The sequence below is a fragment of the Homo sapiens genome, chromosome 1 (assembly GCF_000001405.40).
Source record: "Homo sapiens chromosome 1, GRCh38.p14 Primary Assembly".
Taxonomy (NCBI): Eukaryota; Metazoa; Chordata; class Mammalia; order Primates; family Hominidae; genus Homo; species Homo sapiens.
The window spans coordinates 154,592,757-154,618,100 of NC_000001.11; the positions used below are offsets into that span (position 1 = coordinate 154,592,757).

General features: G+C 45.3%; 1 protein-coding gene across 16 annotated transcripts in view, besides 4 other annotated features; it reads right to left on the reverse strand.

Annotated features, from left to right (window-relative positions):
• ADAR (adenosine deaminase RNA specific) overlaps positions 1–25,344 on the reverse strand; it is a 45,941-nt gene that overhangs the window by 10,700 nt on the left and 9,897 nt on the right. For 6 of the 16 annotated variants that reach the window (XM_047428340.1, NM_001365045.1, XM_011509061.3 and 3 more), the window contains exons 2-6: positions 8,285–9,870; positions 5,646–5,829; positions 5,072–5,220; positions 4,367–4,511; positions 4,049–4,239 (exon numbers count right to left, since the gene is read on the reverse strand). In XM_047428340.1, coding sequence (XP_047284296.1) covers positions 4,049–4,239; positions 4,367–4,511; positions 5,072–5,220; positions 5,646–5,829; positions 8,285–9,870 — 2,255 coding nt within the window. Of the gene's footprint in view, positions 1–4,048; positions 4,240–4,366; positions 4,512–5,071; positions 5,221–5,645; positions 5,830–8,284; positions 9,871–13,249; positions 13,498–15,235; positions 15,431–15,994; positions 16,042–25,344 lie in introns of those variants that run through there. The other 10 variants (NM_001365049.1, NM_001365047.1, XM_047428441.1 and 7 more) reach the window with 7 other exon arrangements.
• Positions 15,204–15,313: a silencer, noted in NCBI's record as "silent region_1364". NCBI's record gives its function as "represses an Ori minimal core promoter by ATAC-STARR-seq in GM12878 lymphoblastoid cells {active_cell/tissue: GM12878}" and the evidence as "EXISTENCE:reporter gene assay evidence [ECO:0000049][PMID:35858748]".
• Positions 15,314–15,703: an enhancer, noted in NCBI's record as "active region_1780". NCBI's record gives its function as "activates an Ori minimal core promoter by ATAC-STARR-seq in GM12878 lymphoblastoid cells {active_cell/tissue: GM12878}" and the evidence as "EXISTENCE:reporter gene assay evidence [ECO:0000049][PMID:35858748]".
• Positions 16,373–17,366: an enhancer, noted in NCBI's record as "OCT4-NANOG-H3K27ac-H3K4me1 hESC enhancer chr1:154581605-154582598 (GRCh37/hg19 assembly coordinates)". NCBI's record gives its function as "activates a minimal SCP1, AML or CMV promoter by ChIP-STARR-seq in naive H9 embryonic stem cells {active_cell/tissue: H9 hESC(naive)}" and the evidence as "EXISTENCE:reporter gene assay evidence [ECO:0000049][PMID:30033119]".
• Positions 17,450–17,529: an enhancer, noted in NCBI's record as "active region_1781". NCBI's record gives its function as "activates an Ori minimal core promoter by ATAC-STARR-seq in GM12878 lymphoblastoid cells {active_cell/tissue: GM12878}" and the evidence as "EXISTENCE:reporter gene assay evidence [ECO:0000049][PMID:35858748]".

Here is a 25,344-nt window from a genome sequence, read left to right on the forward strand (position 1 = left end):
ATTAGGGATGTTAATCCAAACAGAGGTGACAAGTAAGCAACTAGATGGAGGAATCGGGAGCTCTGAGTGGTCTCCAGCATTTAGATATTAAAGGTCATGGCTGTCGCGGTGGTTCATGCCTGTAATCCCAGCACTTTGGGAGGCTGAGGCGGGTGGATCATCTGAGGTCAGGAGTTGAAGACCAGCCTGGCCAACATGGTGAAACTCTGTCTCTACTAAAAATACAAAAATAGTCAGATGTGGTGGCAGATGCCTGTAATCCCAGCTACTCGAGGAGCTGAGGCAAGAGAATTGTTTGAACCCAGGAGGCGGAGGTTGCAGTGAGCTGAGACTGCGCCACTGCACTCCAGCCTGGGTGACAGAGTGAGACTCCATCTCCAAAAAAAAAAAAAAAAAAAAACAGAAAAGAAGTCATAAAATTAGTTAACGTCACCAGCCACAGTAGACAGAAAGGAAAAAAAGACCCAGCATAATTCACATTAAGAAGCAACTAAAGTATATTATTGTACGAGATAGTTAATAAACGTAGTTACTCAATTAGCATTTCCCCTCTCTATGCAACCTTCCTCAGCTCCCTGGCAGACAGTGGCAGCAGTGTCCTCTGTGTCCCCACAGCACTCTGCATTCACCTCCAATGGCACATTTCAATACTGCTATGGCTATATGTCTGCTACACACTCAGGGGCAGCAATTTTTTGTATCTTCCATCTAGTTCATAGTAAGTTCTTACATTCTCAATGAATGGCTGACTTGAAGTCCTAGAAAGGATTTCACAGAAGATTTCACAGAAGAGAAAGAGGAAATGCACTGAACCTATCATCTGAAGGACTGTGCTTAAAGATAAGGAGGTGCTTATTGAGATGAAGGATATGAATTAGTAGAAGAGCAGCTGGAGGGAGACTGGGCCTCTCCTTTTCCAGATGGCTTAAACAGTGGGCAGATGTGTGTTCTAAATTGGGTCATGTTGGGCAAAGGGCTACTTTTAAAAATTATGTTAAAAGTTCTTACATATCCATGAGAGTAACAATCTGAAAGAAAACTGGAAAAGGACAAGAACAGGTGGTTCACAGAAAAGGAAATGCAAATAACACATAAATATGAATAAATGAAATGCCATTACTTCTGATTTTTTTGTTTTTTTTTTTGAGACGGAGTCTCACTCCATCACCCAGGCTGGAGTGCAGTGGCACAATCTCAGGTCACTGCAACTTCCGCCTCCTGGGTTCAAGTAATTCTCCTGCTCAGCCTCCGGAGTAGCTGGCATACAGGGGCATACCACCATGCTCAGCTATTTTTTGTATTTTTAGTAGAGATGGGGTTTTACCATGTTGGCCAGGCTGGTCTCAAATTACTGAGCTCAAATGATCCACCCACCTCGGCCTCCCAAAGTGCTGGGATTATAGGCGTAAGCCACTGCGCCCGGCTGACATTACTTCTATTAAGGAGAGACAAATTTAAAGTAACAAGATAGCATTTTTATAAGCTTTTTTCCTTAATGACTTTAAAATGGACAAGTTGGATGCCAAACATGTGAAAATTCAAACAGTTAAGAGTGTACAATAAAAGTGTCCCTCCTTCCCCAGAAGCAAACACAGTTGCCAGTTTTTTCGATCCTTCAAGAAAATATTCTAGACATATACAGACAATCTTCACCTCTCCCCTCACTTTACACCTTGCTTTTCCACTTTGTGATAGACCTTAGAGATTAAGAAAACATGCCGGTTGCATGGCAAGAGTGATGCCATCTTGATGCAAAACCACTATGACCACCAATATCTGACTCCCGCATCCCAAAGTGTTGGGTAGCATAAATAATTCCACACAAAGATGTCTACCAAGCCTCCCCACCAGCTAGTGCTCATAAGTTTCACAAGAAAGTATAATGTGTGACCAGCTGCATGTTTAACCAAAAAAGCCTCTATAGAAAGCATACTTTCTGGAGGGTAAGTGCAGGGATCCACCATCTTGCAGCCACCCAAGACATCATTTCTGTTCCTAAGTCCCTATTAAATGTTTACTTCTGAGAAACTGAATTTGTCAGCTTCTATTCAATGAAATACTATGCAGCTATGCAAGAAGTCTGGTAAGTAAAGGAGTCAACGTATAAAACAGAAGATATACTTGTTTAAAAAGACAAAAGGGAAAATGTGCTAGTTATGCACAGCAATTTCTAGAAGGACTCAAGAAACTGGTATAGTCATGTACTGCATAACAGTGTTTTGTTCAATGATAAATCACACATATGACAGGGGCCCCGTAAGATTATGATGGAGCTGAAAAATTCTTATCACCAAGTGCAGGGCTCTGTAACCTGTTAGGAACCTGGGCACACAGGAAGAGGTGAGTGGCGAGCAAGAAAGCATTCTGGTCCGAGCTCCGCCTCCTGTGGGATCAGCAGCAGCATGAGATTCTTGTAGGAGTGTGAACTCGACTGTGAACTGTGAATGCGAGGGATCTAGGCTACACGCTCCTTATGTGTTTACTATATTTTTATCATTATTTCAGCGTATACTCCTTCTACTTCTAGAAAAATAAGTAACTAAAAAAAGCCTCAGGCAGGTATTCCAGAAAGCACTGTTACCATAGGAGATGACGGCCCCCATGCATGTTATTGCCCCTGAACACCTTACAGTGGGACAAGACGTGGAGGTGGAAGACAGTGATACTGAGGATCCTGACCCTGTGTAGGCCTAGGCTAACAGCTAATGTATTTTCATCTTAGCTTTCAACAAAAAAGTTTAAAAAGTTAAAAAAATAAAAAAATTTACAAACAGAAAAAAGACTATAGAATTAAGGATATAAACAAAGGAAATATTTTTGGATAGCAGTACAACATGTTTGTGTTTTAAGCTAAGTATTATTACAAAAGGAACAAAAAATAAAAAAGTTAATAAAGTAAAAAATAAAGTAAAAATAAAGTAAAAAAGTTACAGTAAGCTAAGGTTAATTTATTAAAGAAAAATATTTTAAATAAATGTAGTTAGCCTAAGTGAACAGTGTTTACAAAGCCTACATTAGTGTACAGTCATGTCCTAGGCCCTCATATTCATTCTCCACTCACTGGCTGACTCACCCACAGCAACTTCTAGTCCTGCAAGCTCCATTCATGGCAGGCGCCCTATACAGGTGTAGTATTTTTTTAATCCTTTATGCTGTCTTTTTACTGTATCTTTTTGCTGTTTAGATAGACACCAATACTTACCAGTGTGTTGCAGCTGCCCACAGTATTCACTACAGTTACATGCTGTACAGGTTTGTAGCCTAGGAGCAACCGGCCATACCATACAGCCTGTACGTGTGTAGGAGCCCATGCCATCTAGGTTTATGTAAATACACACTGATGTTCTCACAACAACAAAACCATGCTTCTCAGACCGCATCCCAGTTGCTAATGCAGGGCTATAGTAATATATGGGTCTAGGGAGGGAAACTAGAAGTCTGAGACGGAAATGAGACTTTTCATTGAAATGACTACTTTTTCAATCAGCTTGAATGATTTTTTTCAAGATGGAGTCTTGCTCTGTTGCTCAGGCTGGAGTGCAGTGGTGCGATCTCAGCTCACTGCAACCTCCGCCTCCCAGCTTCAATCAATTCTCCTGTCTGCCTCCCGAGTAGCTGGGATTACAGGCACCCGCTGCCACGCCCAGCTAATTTTTGTATTTTTAGTAGAGACAGGGTTTCCTCATATGGTCCGGCTGGTCTTGAACTCCCGACCTCAGGTAATCTACCTGCCTCAACTTCCCAAAGTGCTGGGATTACAGGCGTGAGCCACCATGTCTGGCCTGAATGATTTTTTAATGTACCTATACATTTCTTTAAAAATTAAAACTAGTCAAAAAATTAAAAAGGATCATGCTTACTGGAAGAGTGAACGCATTCACTCTTGGCAGGTCTATTGTCTTCTAAGAGGCCGTGGAGACAGGGCTGGACTTGTTTCCCTCAACTCGCCCCTTCTGTCCTACACAGCTAAAGCACACCCTTGTTTTCCCTGGGTTACAGACCATCCCCAACTGGTGACACATGCATTAGCCAGGACTAGGACACTCACTTGGGCTCGTGAGGAGGTCCGGACTGGTCGACCAACTTGAATTCAGCAGCAAAGCCATGGGAGCGGGCGTACTCCAAAAGGCCACCCACAGGGTTGGTGTTCAGGTATCTCACGAGCTCGCCAATCTTCCTGACCTTGTTGGGCATCATGGATTCCAAGTTATCAAGTGACTCTGAGATCATACCTTCAGGCTAAAGGAGAATCCATCAAACAGAGGAGCCATAAACACTTCAGGAAATGTTGAGGGAGTCACTGGCAATCTTAAACCACTCAGTTGCTAAAAATGACCTGTATCTTTTGAGTAGGAAAACGCCCTACCTGGTTATCAGAAGCCATGGAGTTGGTCGCCTCCCCATGCAGGGCCTTCATGGCTTCCTCTGCGGCCATCTGCTTTGCCACTTTCTTGCTGGGAGCACTCACACTGGGGAAAGTTTGGGCTCCCACTGCAACACAGTATTGGAACCTGACAGGAGATGAAGCACGTAGAAGGATTAAAATGGTTTTGACTGAGGAGCCTGACCTAGCCTCTGCCAGGCTGCCATCCTCCACTACTGGTAATTTCCTTGAACACATCACCTCTGTGCAGTCACATCTCATGCAGTCACTTCTGCCTTGAACAGCCAGTGTCTCTTAGCCTGGCTGACCCCTTTCAACATTTAAGCATCAACCTAGTTTCACCTCTTCCAGGAACACTTCTCTTGAACATGTGAGTCTATAGACCCACAGGCAGAGAGCTTCTCAGGTCCTGTACCTTTCTGTCCCACCAACAGTGAGTGACCTCCAAGCCGTGAACCTCCCTAGTGCTTATAGAGGAGATAGAGGGTGGGCCAGGAATTCCCTTTGAATTCCTAATCCCTAATTGTCTGCCTCACAAGCAGCAACCAGGACCTCAGAGCCCTCCTTTCCCCATTTTGAAACAGGAGAAATTGGTCAATCTGCCATCCCTGAGGAGGCAAGGAAGAAAATGTGTCTCTTTTTCTTTCTGAGAAAACCTCAGCTGGACAGAGGACACGTAGGACATACTTGGGTTCATGGGCAGGGCCTTCTTTGGACAGGAGACGGAATTCGCAGGAGTTCCCCAATTTGTGCATACACTCAAGCAGTGTGGTGACGGGGCTCTTCCCAGAAAAGAAGGATGTGGCTGAAGGGGTGGGGGTCTGGGACTCTGCAGTCTAGAGAAAATGAGAGACAAGAAGAAAACAAAACTAAGAAAACACTGGTTAGTCCATCACAGAAGAAGGGATGGGGATGGGGGACTTTATTCCCACCACCTGTCAAGGGGTTGGCTTCCCAAAGTTAAAGGGGCTGCTGGAGCTCTCATTCCGCATCTTCCAAGAGAGGAGATTGGCCTCAATAAACTTTCAGGTCTCTTTCAAGTCCGAAATTCTGTAAATCCAATTATGTTGGGACAGGAGCAGACAGAGGAGCTGGGTATGAGAGGAGGAAAGGTGGGCTGGCGAGATAGGGTAGAGGGAAGAGTGGGAAGCTGACTCCGAGATGGTGTCAGTTGTTTAGGCTGGGATTGCCTCAAGGGAGTCAGTTACAATCCAGACACTGACAGGGAACTGATCCTCCCAGATGGCAGGAGGACACCTACCTTCTCTGATTCTTTCTCTGTGGAATAGTGGGATGATTCTTCTGATTTTCCACTGTCCTTGGCTTTGGCTTCCTCTAGCAGAATTGTCATGGCTTTCATAGCTGCATCCTGCTTGGCCACTTTCTTGCTTCCAGCTTCAGCTGGGGGAAACTCTCGGCCATTGATGACAACCTGGAATTTAAATCTTGACGGAAAGTGATTAGATGTGTGAACAGGAGTCTAGGTCACTCCTTCTGCCTTCTCCAAAGAGACCTTCAACCTGGAATTTTCTGCTACGCTAAGGGGCTTTTCACTTGTGGAGATGAAGGGTAGGCCAAGGAACTCCTTCCTACTCCTTAAGGCTCAGCCTGTCCTTTCTTTTTGTAAACAAAGCAGCCAGTGACTCTTTCCCCATAGCTCAGTGAAGCAAACATAGGCACAGATGATAGGAAACTAGCTCAGGGGAAACCCACTATCTCTTTAACAATGAATTAAGATAAAACCCACACACACAAAAATGATGAGCCAAAAATTACCATTATAGTCTTGTGAGCAACCAAAAGACCTTCATTCTAAAGCAATTGTGGTAGACTGGCCTCCTCAAGGGAGGGTCCTAAAAGATAGTGAAGGCTTCTTATAACCCAGTCTCACACTCCCCACTACCTAGGGGGATCAGGCATCTGCCACTTATCAGTGGCCTGCTTTTGTCCCTAGACCTATATCACCGTAGTTTGTTATGAGTCACTCTATAGCACCATTTGTCTCCAGCTATTTTCTACATAACAAGGAATTTCCCCTTGTTATGTAGAAAATAAAAAAGCATTTGTTCTAGGCCTCTGGACTTAGCCTAGGCCCCCTTTGTTCAAGCTTTCAAATGTGGTGAGCTCTTTGCTCAGTCTGGGATTTCATTTAGAAAAGTAGGTCAAATTTCTTATTTCCTAGGTCTTCTGATATATTTGAACATGGCACCAATGTTTCTTTTAGTGTGAGTCCAAAGAATGACTAACCACAAAATCCACTGCTTTCCTCCAACTCTGGGGAGGAGGGATGGAGGCAAAAGAGAATGACGGCCATCCAGTCTCTACCCCAAACAATCCAGCTCTGGCCTTGCCAGCTTTTGGACAGACACAACTCCTTTTCTTAACCGCTCTCCTGAAATGCCAAATTGGTGTCATGAAGACAGTCAAGACAAGGAATAAGGGCCCTAGCCAGGAATCTACACCCCTAGAAACCAGGCTAGGTAAACATAAAGGTCAGTGGAATTCTCCCCCATCCTACTGGCTCTTTCCCTGGCTGCAGCTGCAGCCACTCAGCTTCAGTGGTTTTGCTCTCTGTTATGCCCTTCAGAAGCTCCTGTTTTCCTCAATCTGTCCACTGGCCTATTAGGACCTACAGTGCAGGGCCTGACCAGCTATCTGAGTGAGGTAAAGGCTGACTTCACAGCTCAGGAGTGGCAGCAAGTGCTAGCCTACCCATCTGTGCAGAGGAGGTTTATAAAATTAGAACCACCACCTTCAACAGGCAGGCAGCCGTGCACACGCTCCTCCATCCTTTCCCCCCAGGAGCTATGCAGAGGGGGGATTGTGGACCTGCTGCTGCTTAGCAGCACAACCCACCCCCACTGTGTATGCAGCCTGCCCCAACCCACCTGCTCCTGCACCTCTCTCAGAAAACGGCTTAGGGAGGAGGGGAAGGCCTACAGAAGGGAATTAAGTCTTCATTACCTCTGCCTTAGGAGGCAGGCATGATATTGATGCATGGAGATCAATCATGTTTTTCTTTTTTCTTTCTTTTTCCAAGATGGAGTCTCACTCTGTCGCCCAGGCTGGAGTGCAGTGGCGCCAATCTCGGCTCACTACAACCTCCACCTCCTGGGTTCAAGTGATTCTCCTGCCTCAGCCTCCCGAGTAGCTGGGATTACAGGCAAGCACCACCACCCCCAGCTAATTTTTGTATTTTTAGTAGAGATGGGGTTTCACCATGTTGGCCAGGCTGGTCTCGAATTCCTCACCTCATGATCTGCCTGCCTTGGCCTCCCAAAGTGCTGGGATTACAGTCGTAAGCCACCGCCCCGGCCCCCAAGACCAATCATTTCTTTCTTTTTTTTTTTTGAGATGGAGTCTTGCTCTGTGGCCCAGGCTGGAGTGCAGTGGCGCAATCTCAGTTCACTGCAACCTCTGCCTCCTGGGTTCAAGTGATTCTCCTGTCTCAGCTTCCTGAGTAGCTGGGACTACAGGTGCACGCCACCACGCCCAGCTAATTTTTGTATTTTTAGTAGAGACAGGGTTTCACCATGTTGGCCAGGCTGGTCTCAAACTCCTGACCTCGTGATATGCCTGCCTCGGCCTCAAAAAGTGCTGGGATTACAGGCATGAGCCACCGCGTACGGCCAAAACCAATCATTTCTAAAGAAGCTTCATTACAGCCAACAGAGTCAACCTCCCCCTTGTTCAGCCAAGATTCTGGCTGGTCCAAGGTCTATATTCCCTGCTCAATATCTGGAGAAAGGGCCAATCAAGGGGAATTTAGCTAAAAGGCAGAAGGGAAGGAGGAAAAGATAGGCGCCACCAAACAGCACTGCTCACAAATCAGCCAAGACTGCGTCAGGAGCAAAAGCACCTGACCCCAACCCTAGGTACAGTTCCTGGGTGGTCTCTTACCGAGGTTCATGGGGTGGTCCACTCTGCTCTATCATGTTGAACTCACAGGTTTGACTAGCGAACTGGGCATATTCTAACAGCCCGCTGATGGGGTTCTTCAGCTGGCACTCTGTCAGTTTCTTGTAGGGTGAACACCGTGGCAAGCCATGACTGTAGAAGGAGGGCATCTCCATGATGGCTCGAAACTCACCTGGTGCTGCGCGGATACTATTCAAGTCATCTGGGATGTCATCTGTGGCCCACTGGCCATTTTCAAAGTCAACATACCCTGCTTTTGAGGGGCCATTGTAATGAACAGGTGGTTTCAGTCTTGCTGGTTCTGGTCTGGCCTCTTGCCTGTTTTCTAACTTTATGACAGGTTCCTGCCCATTCTCCACTTTTTCTGTGGTTACCATGTTATTTGAGGCATTTGATGTGGGTATATTACAGGTGAGGAACTCTGCGTTTCTTTTGGTCTCAGGGATTGCAGCTGGAGCGGTTTCAGGAACACTGTTCGTATTTCTCTTGATTTGCATCCTCTCTCGCTTCTTGTCTGTCAAATGCCATATGGGAGGGGTTGTCCCTTGTCTATAGACATCCCCCTGCCTTTCCATGTCAATTAGCACAGCATTTATATCTCGGGCCTTGGTAAGGCCAATATTTTTAGCCAAATTCAGGGCAGAGGAGTCAGACACATTGAAGAGATAGTCGCAGATTTTCTCCTTGATCTCGGCCATGTCTAAAAACTCAAGAGGATCTTCCAAGGCAGATGTGGAGTTGCTGTCTTCAGGTTCCAAACCTGGGTCTGAGTTTGGGGATCCTTGGCTATGACTGTCTGGTCTTACCACTCCGCTGTGCTGGTTCCAAGCCTGAGCTGAGACTGCAATAAAAGGCTCAAGAAGATCTTCTGAGACAGATGTGGAGTTTCTGTCTTCCGGTTCCAAACTCGGGTCTGAGTTTGGGGCTCCTTGGCTATGACCGTCTGGTCTTACCACTCCGCTGTGCTGGTTCCAAGCCTGAGTGGAGACCGCGATTTTCCACAAAGGGGGTGTTCCTGCCTCTTTCTGTAGCTTGCCCTTCTTTGCCAGGGAGTATAAAACTCGATTGATTTCTTTCTTCGGAGTCCCAAGTTTCCCAGACAGATCATGTGCTGTGGTGGCCTTCCCTTCCCCAAGCTCTTCCAGGAACTTTAAGATCCTTTGTTCCTGATCTTGGTAGATACTCAGTTCCTGGAAATGTGAGGAAAGGCAATCAACACCTCTCTGTGGCAGACTCCTGCCACGTGGTGAAGGATGCTGGAACCCTCTCTGGAGCCCCTGACTTCTGAGATGCACGCCCCTGGGGACACCCCTGATGTCCACTTGCCTGCCTCTGGTACTGGAGGCAAGTAGTACTGGAAACCTTGGCCGGAGTCCTGGGAGGGAAGGTGGCAGTGACGGTGTCTGCTTTCCAATCACCGGTGCTTCTGGGAGCTGCCCCTTGAGAAATTCTATTTGCTTAAGCAGGAAACTACTGGGGGAAGATCCTGGCCCAGGCTGCTGGTACCTGAGCTGTCTGTGCTCATAGCCTTGAAATGGATGGGTGTAGTATCCGCTGAGGGAATACCCCTGCAGAATAAGACAGTGGAAAAAGAAAATGAATTAGGGCTGCAGTGGTGAACCTGTGGAGGCCCCTCCCTTTGCTGCCTGTGGAACAGCCCTTGAAGGGCTGAGAAGGCAATTGAGCCATGGGCTTATGACTTGGCTAGGGTGACTTGCCTACCTCCTAAATCCTGCCTAGGGGCCTGCCAACAGGAACACAGAGAGGGGAGCAGGAGGCAAAGCACGCAGAACTTCCAGGAATACAGAGGTTCTGAGGCCTCAGCATAGCCTCTCCAGCAACCTAACTTACTTTTCCCTTTGACAGAATTTAAGGGAGTTGAGAAGGTAATTTTCTAGTTACCAAAACAATTACCCCTTTAAAATCAGAACAACAAATATATGTTATTGTTTTGAAAACAAAAACAGAATAACCTGAAATAACCAGAACAATCACATGAAATAACAATAACCAAGGGAGATGGGACTAGGGAAGGGACGAGATGACCTCTCCTTAAGTCAGGCTCACCAGTGCACCCCTTGCCCACCTGTCTCTAAGATCTATCGTTTAGATGACTATGACAAAAGAAGAAATGTGATTGGATGAAACTGAACCCCAGTCCTCCAAGGCTGTAACAGCGCAGTAACGAAAACAATCTCCAGGTGGGAAAAGGCCACGGGACCTCAGAGTCATCTCTGTGGCTCTTCACTGCCATCCCAGGAGGATCAGAATTTGGTCTTCAGGGAGCTGGAGGGTTTCCTGATAAAAATGGCACACTGTCCTCACTCTTCAGTGTGGTACCCAGGCTCAGAAGGGATGCCAGAGACTTTTGCCCAAACCACCCAGGCTCTCCTGGATGTGTGGAGCTGGCAGCATCTGCTCCTCACCACCTCAGACCAGTCCTACCTTCCCTAGCTACTTCCCCATAGCTGCTTCCACTGCACGTTCTTCTGAACCCTGACGGACAGGGCACAAGCAACCCCATGTTCTCATATGCACATTTACCAGAACACCAAGCACCTGTGACCCCTTTCCCCACCCACCCACCTGCAAACCAGTACTGTCTTCTCCCCAGGGCTGTTCACTGGAGGGTGATGGAGCCAGGAAGTACTTATAAGCCTGGGGGTGTCAGTAAACACCTTGCTTCCTTTCCCTGGGGCTTGTAGACTGGGAGGAGGGATTCTGACAACATTTACTCACACTCACCGCCCCCTCCTCAGACTCTCCTGGAGGCTGCACAGGTAGAGGTGGGACCCTTTCTTCCATAACTCTAGCCTTCTACTCTTCCACATCCTGACACACTTAGGGGATTTCAGCATTCTTGTCAATCACTCTCATGGTGTCCTGGCTACAAGGATCCTTAACCCAGTGATCTCCATCCCTACCTTTCTGCCACACAATTGGCTTGTCTAGCTACTCCTTCAATCTCACTATGACTCTAACCTAGGCCATCACACCAAGACCTCAAATCCTGCAACTCTTTTCCAGTGGCTGATAAACTTTTTCTATAAAGGGCCAGACAGCTCTGCCACTGTAGCACAAAAACAGCCTCACACAATATGCAAAACTTTATTTACAATTCATTTACCATGAAGCTTTATTTATAAAAACAGGTAGTTTGTACCTGTGGGCCATAGTTTCTTGACTCCTGCTCTTTTCTGATGGTGACTTCCCTGTGTTTCTACAACTTCACTCCTTACTCTGGTGGAACCTGCTCCTCGCATGACCCCGGTGAAGCTGCCAGTAAGCCACCCTGATTCTTCCCCACTCTGACTTCACACACCTCCTCACCCCACCTGGATCTCATGGTCAGTTCCCTTCTCCACCCAAGGCCCACTGTCCCCCTTTTCTTCTCCAAAGCTTCCCAGTGGTACTGGAGAAGGACCTTGACTTGTGCTAACAGGGTCCATAAAAATTCCTTCTCTTGAACCTCATTTGGGTCTTCGCTGTGTGGTGGTCAATTGTGTTTAACAAACATGCCTTAGTTCACTGTGGATTGAGTACTCTTCTTTTAAAAAATTCTCCTCCCAGGGTTTGGTGACACAGCAAAGGTCTTTCACCTCTTTTTTCTTCTTTGTCCCTTTTTCCCACCCCTTATAATTTTTTAATAGCTACTGTATTAACGGATCCACCCTTTATATAATCAGTCTCCAAGGTTTTAAGGACCTCTTCTTCCTTTATAATTTATTTCCTAGGTTGCTTTAATCACTGCCCCAACCTAAACTAGCCCTCTGAAGCAAGAGCACTCAAATCTACTATGTCCAGCCACTACCTTGTGTGGGAGCTTAAGATCTGAATTTCCAACTATGTCGACAGTCTGTCCACTTAAATATCCTGCCATAACTCAAACAGCACATATTCTGAACCAAATTAATAGTTCCCTCAAACTCAGCTCCTTCTCCTGTAGTTCTTATTGCTAATGGCATCACTCTCCTCCTAGCCTATTAAGGCTAGAAACCTGCGTCATCTTTGCTGCCCGCCTCCTGGCCTCATCTCCTGGATCTCATCAGGTAGTTGCCAAGTCCCACCTTGTCTGCCACCTCTGTACTGTGTCTTAAATGTGTTTTCTTCCAGTTCCAGCCCCTCATTACCTCTTACTGGGCCATTGCAAAGGCCTATAATCTTTCTATCCCTCTACATGCCAATCCAGGTGGCACATCTCCCTCCACAGCCACCTATCACAACTCTGACCCTTTCCTTATAGAGCTCCTTAAATGCCACTTGCTTCAGGAGACTCCTGACTCCCACCTTCTTCAGCCCTTGGGGTTTCCTCTCCTTGAGCTTCTCCTACTCAGCACCTGTTAAACCATTTACTTTCCCTCGTATCAGAGCTACTGGATTTTTTTTTTTTTTATGGCACACACACATTGCAGTGTCTGAAAGGTAATTAACATTAGGTGTCCTATAAGTTATACTCAACTCTCCACTCTCAATATTCCCAACACAGTACTGATGAGGGGCTTCAGTTGATTCCATGGTGAGCTCTTGGGGGTCAAGGACTATGCTTCAATCATCTCAACCTCTCTAGCACTTGGCACAAAGCTGATTCTCAACAAACATTTGTTGAATTAATGACTGCATGAACAAGACGCCACTATGCAAGCAATCATTTCTTTCTTGTTCCTCTTGCTGCACCCTCACGCCCACCATATTGCTAGGGACAGAGGCAAATGTGTGTACAGAGTGAGTGCTGGCTCCCAGAGCTGAATTATGGGACTTAGGGGTTCTCCTATTAGCTCTTTGAGTGACCTTGGGAAAAAAAAATTGTGTTTCAAAGTGGCTAGAGTCAGTTAAAAGCTAAATGTTTTTTAAACTGCTACTCTTGGCCCAAATCTGGAAAATATTTTAATGTCTGTCTATAGAAGAATTAAATTATGAAACATTCATTCTATGGAATAGTACTCACACGGTTATTTTTTTTCTTGTGAGACGGAGTCTCGCTCTGTTGCCAAGCTGGAGTGCAGTGGCATGATCTCGGCTCACTGCAATCAGGCTGGAGTGCAGTGTGATCTCAGCTCACTGCAATCTCCGCCTCCCGGGTTCAAGTGATTCTCCTGCCTCAGCCTCCGGAGTAGCTGGGATTACAGGCGCACGCCACCACACCCAGCTAATTTTTGTATTTTTAGTAGAGATGGGGTTTCACCATGCTGGCCAGGATGGTGTCGATCTCCTGATCCGCCCTCCTCGGCCTCCCAAAGTGCTGGGATTACAGGCATGAGCTACCACGCCCGGCCAGTTATTTTATTTTTTTAAAATGTGTCATATCTATTTGTATTCACCTGGGGATAATTTAGGAATCATATAATGTTCAATAAAACAACAAAAAGTTGTAGAATAGTATGTACATTATAATTTTTTTCCCTAAACAAAAAGAGAAAATCCATGAATGTGTATGTGTGCGCACAATGGAATGAACACAGAGAAAAGAAAGGAGATGTAAGTTTGCTAAGGATATCTTAGGGCAGTAGGGTTAGAGGGAGAGGAGGAGATTATTAATCTTTCTTTTTGCCCCCCTTAAATCCCCTAAACACCAAGCCACCGTTGAGTACAGCCATTTGGAAAGCTACGGAATAGGAGAGCAAGAAAGTGAGCAAGCAACCCACAGTGATCCTTTCTAAATCTCTCAGCATCACCTCTATGCAAATTACATAACAACTCATTTAACATTCATTGCCTCCCAGATTTCACTTTAATCTGGTCTCACATATTTAGGATCAAGAGATAAGCACTACCCCCTTTGCCTTTACCACACAGGTTCCACAGTGCAATACACTGACACCTGTGCAGAAATGCTTTTCCTTCAAGTTAGGCGTCCTTAATCCTTTCAAAGGAGTGCTTAAAAAAAAAAAAATATATATATATCTTAACAAAATTGAGGTATATAATTTAGATACAGTAAAATTTATCCTTTTAAGTGTATAAATCTATGAATTTCGACAATCGCCACCACAATCAAGATATAGAACATTTCTATTTCCCTAAAAAGCTTTTTCATGCCACTCAACAATCAATTTCTTCCACGATACCCAGTCCCTGGCACCCACGGATCCACTTTCCATCCCTATAACTGTGGTTTTTTTTTTCCAGAATGTCATATAAATGGACTCATACAGTATGCAGCCTTTTGAGTCTGGCTTCTCGTGCTTAGCATAACGCACTTGCGAGTCACCCGTGTTGTTACTTGTAACAGTATTTCCTCTTCACTACTAAGCAGTATCCCATTATGTGGATGTATTTCAGTTTATCTGTTAACCTGCTGAAGGCCATTTGTGTTTTCCCAGTTTTTAGCTATAAAGTGGTTAACAAGCTTTCTCCTACAGCTTAAGTGCCATTTTTAACTCCCAGAAGGCCTTCAGGAGGTGGATAAGGTGAGCTGAGGATAGTGTGCGCTGCTCAAAGTCCGAACGTTGTTCAAGTGGGGCTAAAGCGGGGGTAGGGGGTTCCACAAGGGGCCCTAGCAGAAAGGGAGACGATGTGTCTGCCTTGACATGGGCTCAGGCCTTCCTACTCAGACGGGGGCGCATTTTCCCCCAAGCCCTCTTCACGCACTGCTCCATTCTGCAGAATTAATGAGCAGGATACAAATTCACAAATTCCTAAACCAGCAATGCTGCTTGGCAAGACTACACACACACGCACACACACACACACACACTCTCACAAGACGCACAAATTCCTAAACCAGCAATGCTGCTTGGCAAGACGACACACACCCACACACACACACTCACAAGACGCACAAATTCCTAAACCAGCAATGCTGCTTGGCAAGACGACACACACACACACACTCTAACACTCACAAGACGCACACGCTACGCACTGCAACACAAAGCCTGTGAGGTTGTAAACGAACCCAGACGGCGGCGAAGGTCCAAGGCCGGCCCGGCTTACCTGCCGCGGATTCATTGCGCCCGCGAGGCATTGCCCGGCCCGACCCGCCGGCGGCACGACCCTGGCCCGACCGCTGGGCCGCGCCAGCCCCTCGAGGCCCCCACGCCTCCGCTACTCCGCACTGGAAGTGGCCCCGGGGCGTCGGCACGGGAAACTCCGCGGGTCTGCGCGCCGGGCCCAAGATGGCTCCGGTTCAATTTCGCTTTCGTTTCCTCGGAAAGCCTTCCCCTCCGGAAAGTTTGGCCAAGAGGAGGGGCTTGAGCAAATCTTGCGCCACGCTTGGTTTCAGGCCGGTTACAAGTCGAACCCCTCCGCTGCATGAGAACTACGGAAGGTACTTTTTTTTTTTTTTTTGAGGCGGAGTCTCGCTCTTTTTGCCCAGGCTGGAGTGCAATGGCGCAATCTCGGCTCACTGCAACCTCTGCCCCCCGGGTTCAAGCGATTCTCCTGCCTCAGCCTACGGAGTAGCTGGGATTACAGGCGAGCGCCATCACTCCTGGCTTTTTTTTTTTTTTTTTTTTTGTATTTTTAGTAAGAACAGGGTTTCACCACGTTAGCCAGGGTGGTCTCGAACTCCCGGCTTCAAGAGATCCGCCCACCTCGGCCTCCCAAAGTGTTGGGATTACAGGCGTCAGCCCCCGCGCCCGTCCGGTACTGTTTAGGAAAACCGCCGTTTCAGTACTGAGCTCCTAATTCCCCGCACAGGCCGTAGGCAGGAATACACGAATAGAGCAAAAGGAAAACAAAGGCACACAAAACCTCAGGCCAGAAACAGCATGACGCCCGGTCCTCCCTCTCTCCGCGCCAGCGCGGTGGTGGCCGCGTCTCCAATGTGGAGGGGGGGGGGAGGGGATGGGCGGGAGCGCAGATCTCGTCAAACGACCAAGGTCCCCACCGTGGGACCTTGTTAATGCTCCTACTATGTTATAAACTTAAGCAAGCAGATGCCAGCCAGTAAAAAGTACCAAGAGTAGCAACAGCAGCAGTGAACAATTTAGGATCTAGGTCATAAAAACTACCCCACCAGGCAAATGGTTAAGTACTTTACATGTATTATCTCCCTTAATCTTCACAACAGCCCTCCAAGGTAGGCATTATTCCCACTTTGCAGGTGTAGAAACCGAGGCTTGACTAAGGCCACGCTGCTGCCAAATCCAGGTCTGAAGGCTTTAGTAAAGCTCAGTCTTCAGCGCTTCTCTACACTCATTCAAATTACACCATTACTTTCAAAAAGATAACTTTTGTTATCTAGAGGGACAAAAGTCAAATTTGCTTCATGGTCAGGCTTCTCTAACTGCTGGATTTTTGTTCAAGGTATCTGGGAAACGATTATTCTAGGGTTCAACACCATCCTCACCTGTGAGAATGTTCTTTCCCTGTGTTTAATCTTAATTTTACCCCCATGCTTATGAAATTACAAGGCAGTCCCTTTATAGCAGTATCTCCAGCTGATGCCCTTTCATGGTGTTAGTCACTCCAAATTAACATTCCCTTGCAGGCTGGGCTCTGTCTTCCTTCTGGGCCTTTGCACATTCTATTCGTTGGCCTAGCATGCACCTCCTCCACGGCTTCCCGTGAATCAACCTTTCAAATTTACAAGGGAGGCCTTCCCCACAGCAGGTAGGGGGAGAGGAGGGGGAGCAGGTGCTGTTTGTGGTTTCCTACTCCATGCTTCTCGAGTTACTGGGCGCCTACCCCTAATAGGGCACTTGCACACTGCGCTAAAAACGCCCCATTCGATCATTTAACAAAACTTTACTAAGCACCTAATTATGTGGCAGATACTGTGTTAAGCACCCAGGATATGACACAAATAAGAGCGCCATCCTTTAGCTAGTCTGCTAGGGAAGATGGATGCCTCAGTAATCACAATTATCATGTACTTCTTGTTCATATATCTGCCTCTAGAATTGTCAAGTCATCTCCTCGGGGGCAGGAAGCATGTTTTGTATCCTTATATTCGCCTTCAGAGGGCTGGTTAGTTGAAAGAATAACAGACCCCTCAGTAGGTATAACAATGGGCAAAAACAATCGAAAGACAACTTCACAGGAGATAAAAAATATCAAACATATGAAAAGGTTCTCAACCCCATCACATCAGAGAAATGCACAGTATAGCTACAGTGAGCTACTGTCCATTCACCAGACAGACAGCATTAGCCATCTGATTAGACCAGGTGGCAGCAAGGATGCAGAGCAGCTCTTAGTCACTACAGGAAACCAGTTTACCATTATCTAGAAAGGTAATGGTAAACCCCAAGAAGTTCATGGTTGCATTATTTGTAATTAATAGCCCCCAAACTGGAAACAACCCAAATGTCCATCAAAAGTAAAATGGATAAATGGTGGCATATGCCCATGATGGAATACAATACAGCAACAAAAATGAAAGATCTACGCATGCAACAAGGTAGCTAATTATCTAAATATGATACTGAGTGGGAAAAGCCATATGTATACTATATGATCCCACTTACAGAAAGTCCCAAGCCAGGCAAAACCAAACTATAGTATGCTCTGCATAAAAGACAAAATGAGGCCGGGCGCAGTGGCTCATGCCTGTAATCCCAGCACTTTGGGAGGCCGAGGTGGGCGGATCACGAGGTCAGGGGATCGAGACCATCCTGGCCAACATAGTGAAACCCCATCTCTACTAAAAGTACAAAAAATTAGCTGGGCATGGTGGCGTGTGCCTGTAGTCCCAGCTACTGGGGAGGCTGACGTGGTAGAAACGCTTGAAGCAGGGAGTCGGAGGTTGCAGTGAGCCAAGATTGTGCCATTGCACTCCAGCCTGGAGACAGAGCAAGACACCGTCTCAAAAAAAAAAAAAAAGAAAAAAAAAAAAAAAAAGACAAAATTGTGGTTAATCACTTCTAGGGAGAAAGGTGGGAGTTTTGACTGGGAAGAAATCTTTTGGGTACCGGTGATGTTCTAGCTCTTGACTTGGGTAGTGGCTACATATGTTTGCTTTCCAATAATTTCATTATACATTTACGTTTTATTCATGTTTCTGTATATATATGCTGTATTTCACAAATTTAAAAGGTAAAAACAAACAAGAACCACAACAAACTCTTGCTGTTGCAATTCCAGTCCACTTCCCCATGTTTTTTTTCCTCCGTTTAAGTAACAGGAGTTATATCTTACCTCTGCTTTCTTGTCTTCAGGCAAGACAATCTGAAAGCCTTTACCCTTCTTCAGAAATGATCCAGAAAAGCTTTAATCACAACTACTGTGCGAGGGAAGCTGCACCGCTGCTCCCCCCACCCCTTTTAATCTAACATAGGACACAGTGGCAAAGCAGTGAACTTTCCTCAACAGAAGGTCAGTTTATGCCTTGAAAGAACAACAACTCCTATTGTCATTTAATCTTAGCAGCTCAAGTAACTGCAGACAGTCTTATTCATAAACGTTTCATCTCCTCCCCCTCAGTAATTGTTTTAACTCCCCCATGGTTGTGAGGTGATGATGTCTTTTTTTTTTTAACTGTTCTATTGTAGGAACTTGACGAGTTGGATGAAAGTCTTTAAAAAAATTAACCAAAAATAATAGGTTTATTTCAGAAAATACAGACAAGCAAACACAATAAAAATCACCCATTGTTAATTCATCATTCATCCGTGCCTACCCTTCGAGCATTTTCCCTGTGCGTAACTTCCCCGTGCGTAACGGCACTGCCAACACATGGGTGGTCAGTCCTCTCAAGGGAGGAGCTCTTCCTATAAAGAATGGCTCACCTCCCCAGGGGCCTGTGAAATGACCCCAGATGTATCTATACCACCTAGGTCTACTTATTAAAAACCACCTAAATGATTAAGAGTTACTGTCTAAAAATGAAGTACTCAGAAACTCAGTATTCTCAGAAGTCTGGCTTCCACATAGCAGTGCCAAGCTCTAGCTCTATAGGTGCATTCAGGGGGTGAGACTTCCCCACCTATAGGAAAGGACATGCTATTATCAGGGCTCCTGAGTTGGTTTTGTTTTCCAATCCCTGCTATTCTTGCTTTTTAACTATAAGTAACTGTTAGTCTGACTTAGTAATTGTTAATTTGGTTTGTTGTGGATCTTCTGTTTAACCTTACTGCGTGCAGGGATACATGTTTACAACAACAGTCTTTTTTAATCTGTAATTTCCTATAACCAGACTTTACTACACACATGGGCTATATCCAATTGGAACATCTATCTCCTGTCTACTGTAAAGCAGATGTCTGCAAACTCCTTCAGTATTTGCTCATACAGTGATACTGGGACAGAAATGTACTGCCTGTGAATGTATTCTAAACAATTTGCAACATATTATCAAAGAAAGTAATAAATTACTCAGTTTTTTTTTTTTTTTTTTTTTTTTTTTGAGATGGAGTCTGGCTCTGTCACCCAGGCTGGAGTGCAGTGGTGCAATCTTGGCTCACTGCAAGCTCCGCCTCCTGGGTTCACGCCATTCTCCTGCCTCAGCCTCCCGAGTGGCTGGGACTACAGGTGCCTGCCACCACACCCGGCTATTTTTTTGTATTTTTATTAGAGACGGGGTTTCACTGTGTTAGCCAGGATGGTCTCGATCTCCTGACCTCGTCATCTGCCGGTCTTGGCCTCCCAAAGTGCTGGGATTACAGGTGTGAGCCACCACGCCCAGCCTGCTCAGTTATTTTTAAGTACCAGGGCATCATTTTAGAATAACTCTTAGGAAATGTATAGTAAGCAATTCAGAGTTGCTAGGCACAAATTTATTGCCCTCCTTTTTTGTTATCGTTGTTTCTCCTCAATTCTTTATCACTGAGTTTTTATTCCACTACAACAGTTCCTAACAACATTAATTTTCTTTCTTTCTTTCTTTTTTTGAGATAGAGTCTCGCTCTGTTGCCCAGGTTGGAGTGCAGTGGTGCGATCTCAGCTCACTGCAACCTCCACCTCCCAGGTTCAAGTGATTCTCCTGTCTCAGCCTCCCGAGTAGCTGGGACTACAGGCACATGCCACCATGCCTGGGTAATTTTTTGTATTTTTAGTAGAGACGGCGTTTCACCGTGTTAGCCAGGATGGTCTCAATCTCCTGACTTCGTGATCCGCCTGCCTCGGCCTCCCAAAATGTTGGGATTACAGGTGTGAGCCACTGCGCTAGTCCCTCAACATTAATTTCCAAAATTCACAGTAGCCTCCCACAGTAAACCCACTTGCTTTGATAACCTGTAAAGCTTTTGGTAGAGAAGAGTGAGTTGCCCAACTGGCTGAGTAGTGCTCTGTGGCAGTATTTATGCTGACATATATTCTATTGATGTTAATGATCACAAATGGCTTTTTTTTTTTTTTTTTTTTTGAGCCAGAATCTCACTCTGTTATCCAGGCTGGAGTGCAGTGGCATGATCTCGGCTCACTGCAACCTCCACCTCCCAGGTACAAGTGATTCTCCTGCCTCAGCCTCCCAAGTAGCTGGGACTACAGGCACGCGCTATCATGCCTGGCTAATTTTTATATTTTTAGTAGAGGTGGGGTCTCACCATGTTGGCCAGGCTGGTCGCAAACTCCTGATCTCAGGTGATCCGCCTGCCTCGGCCTCCAAAAATGCTGGGATTACAGGCGTGAACCATTGCTCCCAGCTAAAACTGGCTTTTGAAGTTACAAGAAAGCAAGAAATGTGGCCAGGCGCGGTGGCTCATGCCTGTAATCCCAGCACTTTGGGACACCGAGGTGGGTGGATCACCTGAGGTCGGGAGTTCGAGACCCGCCTGACTAACATAGAGAAACTCCGTCTTTACTAAAAATACAAAATTAGCCGGGTGTGGTGGCACATGCCTGTAATCCTAGCTACTAGGGAGGCTGAGGCAGGAGAATCACTTGAACCTGGGAGGCGGAGGTTGCAGTGAGCCGAGATCGCACCACTGCACTCCACCCTGAGCAACAAGAGCGAAACTCCATCTCAAAAAAAAAAAAAAAGAAAGCAAGAAATGCCTCAGGTACCCCCAGAAGAAAAAGAGGTCTCCAAAAGCTATTAAGTGCATTTATCCACTCCAGTAAGTTATCTAGTAACAAAGAAAAAAAGTGGTATTTATCAACTAGCTATATGTGCCAGGCTTAAGTATTATATAATAAAGATATAACATTTGCAATAATATTACATATGTAAAATAATACTAATAATAATGACTAACAGGCCTGTGTGCAATCTTTTGCAAGTATGTATAACTAATAAATGTACATTCAGTCGGATAACTACCCCACGGGGTGACCCTATACAACTTGTGGTTTTATACATTATATTCTGACACCCTTAAGCCGCTTCTCCGATGCTAGATTGTTCTTGGATGCAGCACCTGACTGACTTCTGGCCTGACTCTGGCTAGCACAGAGGTTCCGCTACTGGCCTACATTTGGGTTCTATTGAGTCAGGACCCAAAGGGGGAGATCTCCCATCTTCTTCTTCCCTAGGATCCAGATCCAGCCTGTAGGGGGCTGCTCTCAGCCCCAGCCTCATGCAAGAGCAATGCCCCTATCTCCATGGCTTGTAGAAAGCAGGAGGGGACAGTCACAGTCCTGTCCTGGGCAGGCTCAAGGCAGCCACTGCCCTGCCTTCTGCAGTGTTTCTCAGGGAAATAGGCTGATTTCACCAACAGCCAATTTGCCGAAAGTCAGTTTGCCAAATGGTCAATTCCTTGGATAACCAATTTACGAAACAACCAATATGTTGCATTTACTTTTTTCTTAAATCTCCCTAGTCTTAATTGACCAGTTTTTATTCTGTCTTCTTAATAGAATTTAGAGGAAATATGCTCTGCTGTCTCCCTGCTGCTGTAGAGCAGAAGATTGAGGAGGAAACTGAGGAGGCAAAGGGGTAGGATGGAGGGGCTTTTGTAGAACTGACTTTCAGTGAACTGGTTTTCTTGGAATTTGACAGAGAGCCATTTTCAAGTGAACACTGGTCTTTAAAAGTGTTTCTTTTAGTGTTGGCAAGTTCAAAAAAATTTCCACCTACACACACAGAGGAAAAGGCCATGTGAAGACAGAGTAGAGAATGATTCGAAGATGCTAGCCTTGAAGACTAGAGCGACGCAGCCGCAACACAAGCGATGCCAGCACCCACCAGAGGTTGGGAGAGGCAAGGAATGGATTCTCCCCTACAGCCTCTGGAGGGAGCACAGCCCTGCCAACATGGCCCAGTGATACTGATTTCAGATTTCTGGCCTCCAGCACTGTCAGATAATAAATTTCCATTGTTTTAAGCCACCTAGTTTGTGGTTATTTTTTTACAGCAGACAGCCACGGGAAACTACTACAGCATCTTTGCTGGACAATACAAACCAGGGAGCTCCAAGTCCAGGGCTGCCAGAGGCTTTGCTAGGCGAGATAGGAGTTTCTGCATTTGGGTACATCAAAGGGAAAAGGCCAAAACAGACTAGCTGTCATAGATGTACTTATGCACAGCCATGATGTCCTTTATTTATTTTTTAAAAGACAAGGTCTCTGTCACCCAGGCCAGAGTGCAGTGGTACAGTCATGTCTCACTGCAATCTCAAACTCCTGGGCTCAAGCAATCCTCCTGCCTCAGCTTCTTAAGCAGCTGGGACTACAGGCACATACCACCATGCTTGGCTAATTAAAAAAATTTTTTTTCGTAGAAATAGGGCCGCACTATGTTGCCCAGGCCAGTCACGAACTCCTGGGCTCAAGCAATCTGCCTGCCTTGGCCTCCCTGAGTGCTGGAATTACAGGCGTGAGCCACCATGCCTCACCACATTTTTTAGTTAAGCCAAACAGTACAGCCTTCTCATTATTGTCCAACAGAATTAGAGCTTTTAGTTTTATCTGATTTTATTTTTTTCTAGGAAGATACCATTAATTTATATTTTTAAAATGATGAAAATAAATCATCTGTGAAAGAAATAAATTTCCAAGGCAATAAAATAAAATGCAGACAAACTTTTAGTAAGATTGTGTTTTGTGATTACAACCTCCAAACTGGTTTCCCCGCATGTACTTTGGCCTCTTTTCTATCCAGTCTTCTCGACACAGCTTGTGTGATCTCTGAAAACCAAAATCTGATCATGTCATGCATGGAATTCAAGAAAATTCTAACCTAGCAATTAAGGGGGGAGGGGGAACACAGGCAGATGGGATCCAAGAGGCGACAAGGGAGGCTTCAGCAATACAGATAAGGTTCTCATTCAGGGGAAGGTGTTAGGTTCACGTGCATTCGTTTCATTGTTGTATTTCAGTGATACATATATGCTGCAGGAATCTTTTATGCATATCAAATATTTACATTATTAACAAAAAATACTTTGATGGCTTCCTAATGCTCTTAAGATAAAGGCAAACATCTTTACACGATGGCTCCAAAGCCTTACGTGGCCTAGCCCTGCCATCCTTCTCCCTTCTGTTGGACCATGCCCCATCTCTCTGTCCCCCAGCCTCCCTGAGCCTTCTTTTCCTCCCTCTAGATTGCCATGCTCCCTCCTGCCACATACTTGCCCCTCTCTCTGGATTATTTCTCCTCCTTTCCACTATCCTATGATTTGCCCTTCAGATCTCAGGGTAGTCAACACTTCTGGAGGAAGAGCTTGAGCTCTAACCCCTACCCCCTCCCATCGCATGATTTCAAGACCCCCTCCTCTCTTTTGGAGCATATTTACACTTGTAATTTTACATTTCTTCATGTGGTTTTTTGGTAAATATCTGTCTCTCTTACTACAAGTTCCAAGAAGCTAGGGCTATACAAGTGTTTTGCTTTCAGCGTGCTCAAAAATATTTACTGAAAAACGCAACATGCGCATTTCCCTCAAGAGACAGCCCATAGCTTTCAGACTCCCAGATAGATCTGTGTACCCAGAACGAAGGTTAAGAGGCACTGCTCCAAAGACTTTGTTCTTTCCACTGTTGTACTTCAACTCTGGCTTATGTCTTCCTGACCTGGCCCACTGCCCTCTCCAGCACTTCTGTCTGGAGTTCTAGTGGACAATGGGTATCTCAGAGGAGGGCTGAACTTTCCAATATGGAATACAGTAAAAAGTTAGAAACTACAAAGTGATGAATCCCAACATGGCTGCCTAGCCAGTGGACTGGACTTCTACCAAAACAATGACTGGGGCACTATTATCCTGACTCATAGACATAGTGAGAGATAACTTATCAAAAACCCCTGCAAGCGTCCTGTCCTGCTTGTTGCTTAGACAATGCCTAGTCCAGATAACACTGGCCAATAAGTAGCATTTGGAGACTTTGATTTCCTAATATGGGATGGAGACCATGAGTTTTAAAAACCTACCTCATCCCTCATTGCCACCCTCAAGGCTTAGATCTCAGAGCCTAACTTTTGCACTCAACTGGTTCTCTGCTGGGCAGTAAACTTCTGCTTAGCATATCAATCTTTGATGCCAGAGTCTAGATTCTTACTTTAACAAAGAAAGTTCAAAGAAGGCAGGAATTGTGGGCAGAGGTGGGATTCTGCACGAAAGTGACCCTGATGATCACCTTTCCCTCCTAAGCTGATTAAACCAACACAAAACCTCTTCCAAACAGGAAGATGTGTGAGGACCCCTTAATAATAAAGACTGTCTATCATAAATCAACAGCCAATATCATATGTAGAATGGAACAGTTAGACACTACCACTCAAACGAGAAAAAGGAGGGCTACCATTACCATTGTTATTTTCCTTAATTCTAAGATGCACTGCTTTTTACATCCTAACATTTCTGATATTGGAATATGAATTACAGTGTAAGTATACATTTAATATAGTGCCCCCCAAATCTGTTATTAAATCAATAGCAAGTCTTTATGCTCAGTGGTCTTAAAACAAATATGGTATTTAACACATGTTAAATATATATATTTAATATCTTTTCTACCTATGGAAATTCTTACATATTCTACATTATGAAACAAAAATAAGAGATAAACTATTAAAAAGAAAAATAGATTATTTGCAGATGATATCATCATAACCCTAGTTGATTCAAGAGGATCAACTGAAAAACTCTTAGAACCAATACCAGTCAAGGAATATGGTTGAATATAAGAGAAACATATAAAACACAATAGCTTCTTTATATGCATATGTATATATGCATCTAAAGTATATATTCTTTATATAGTAATATATACATTACTATAGTAAT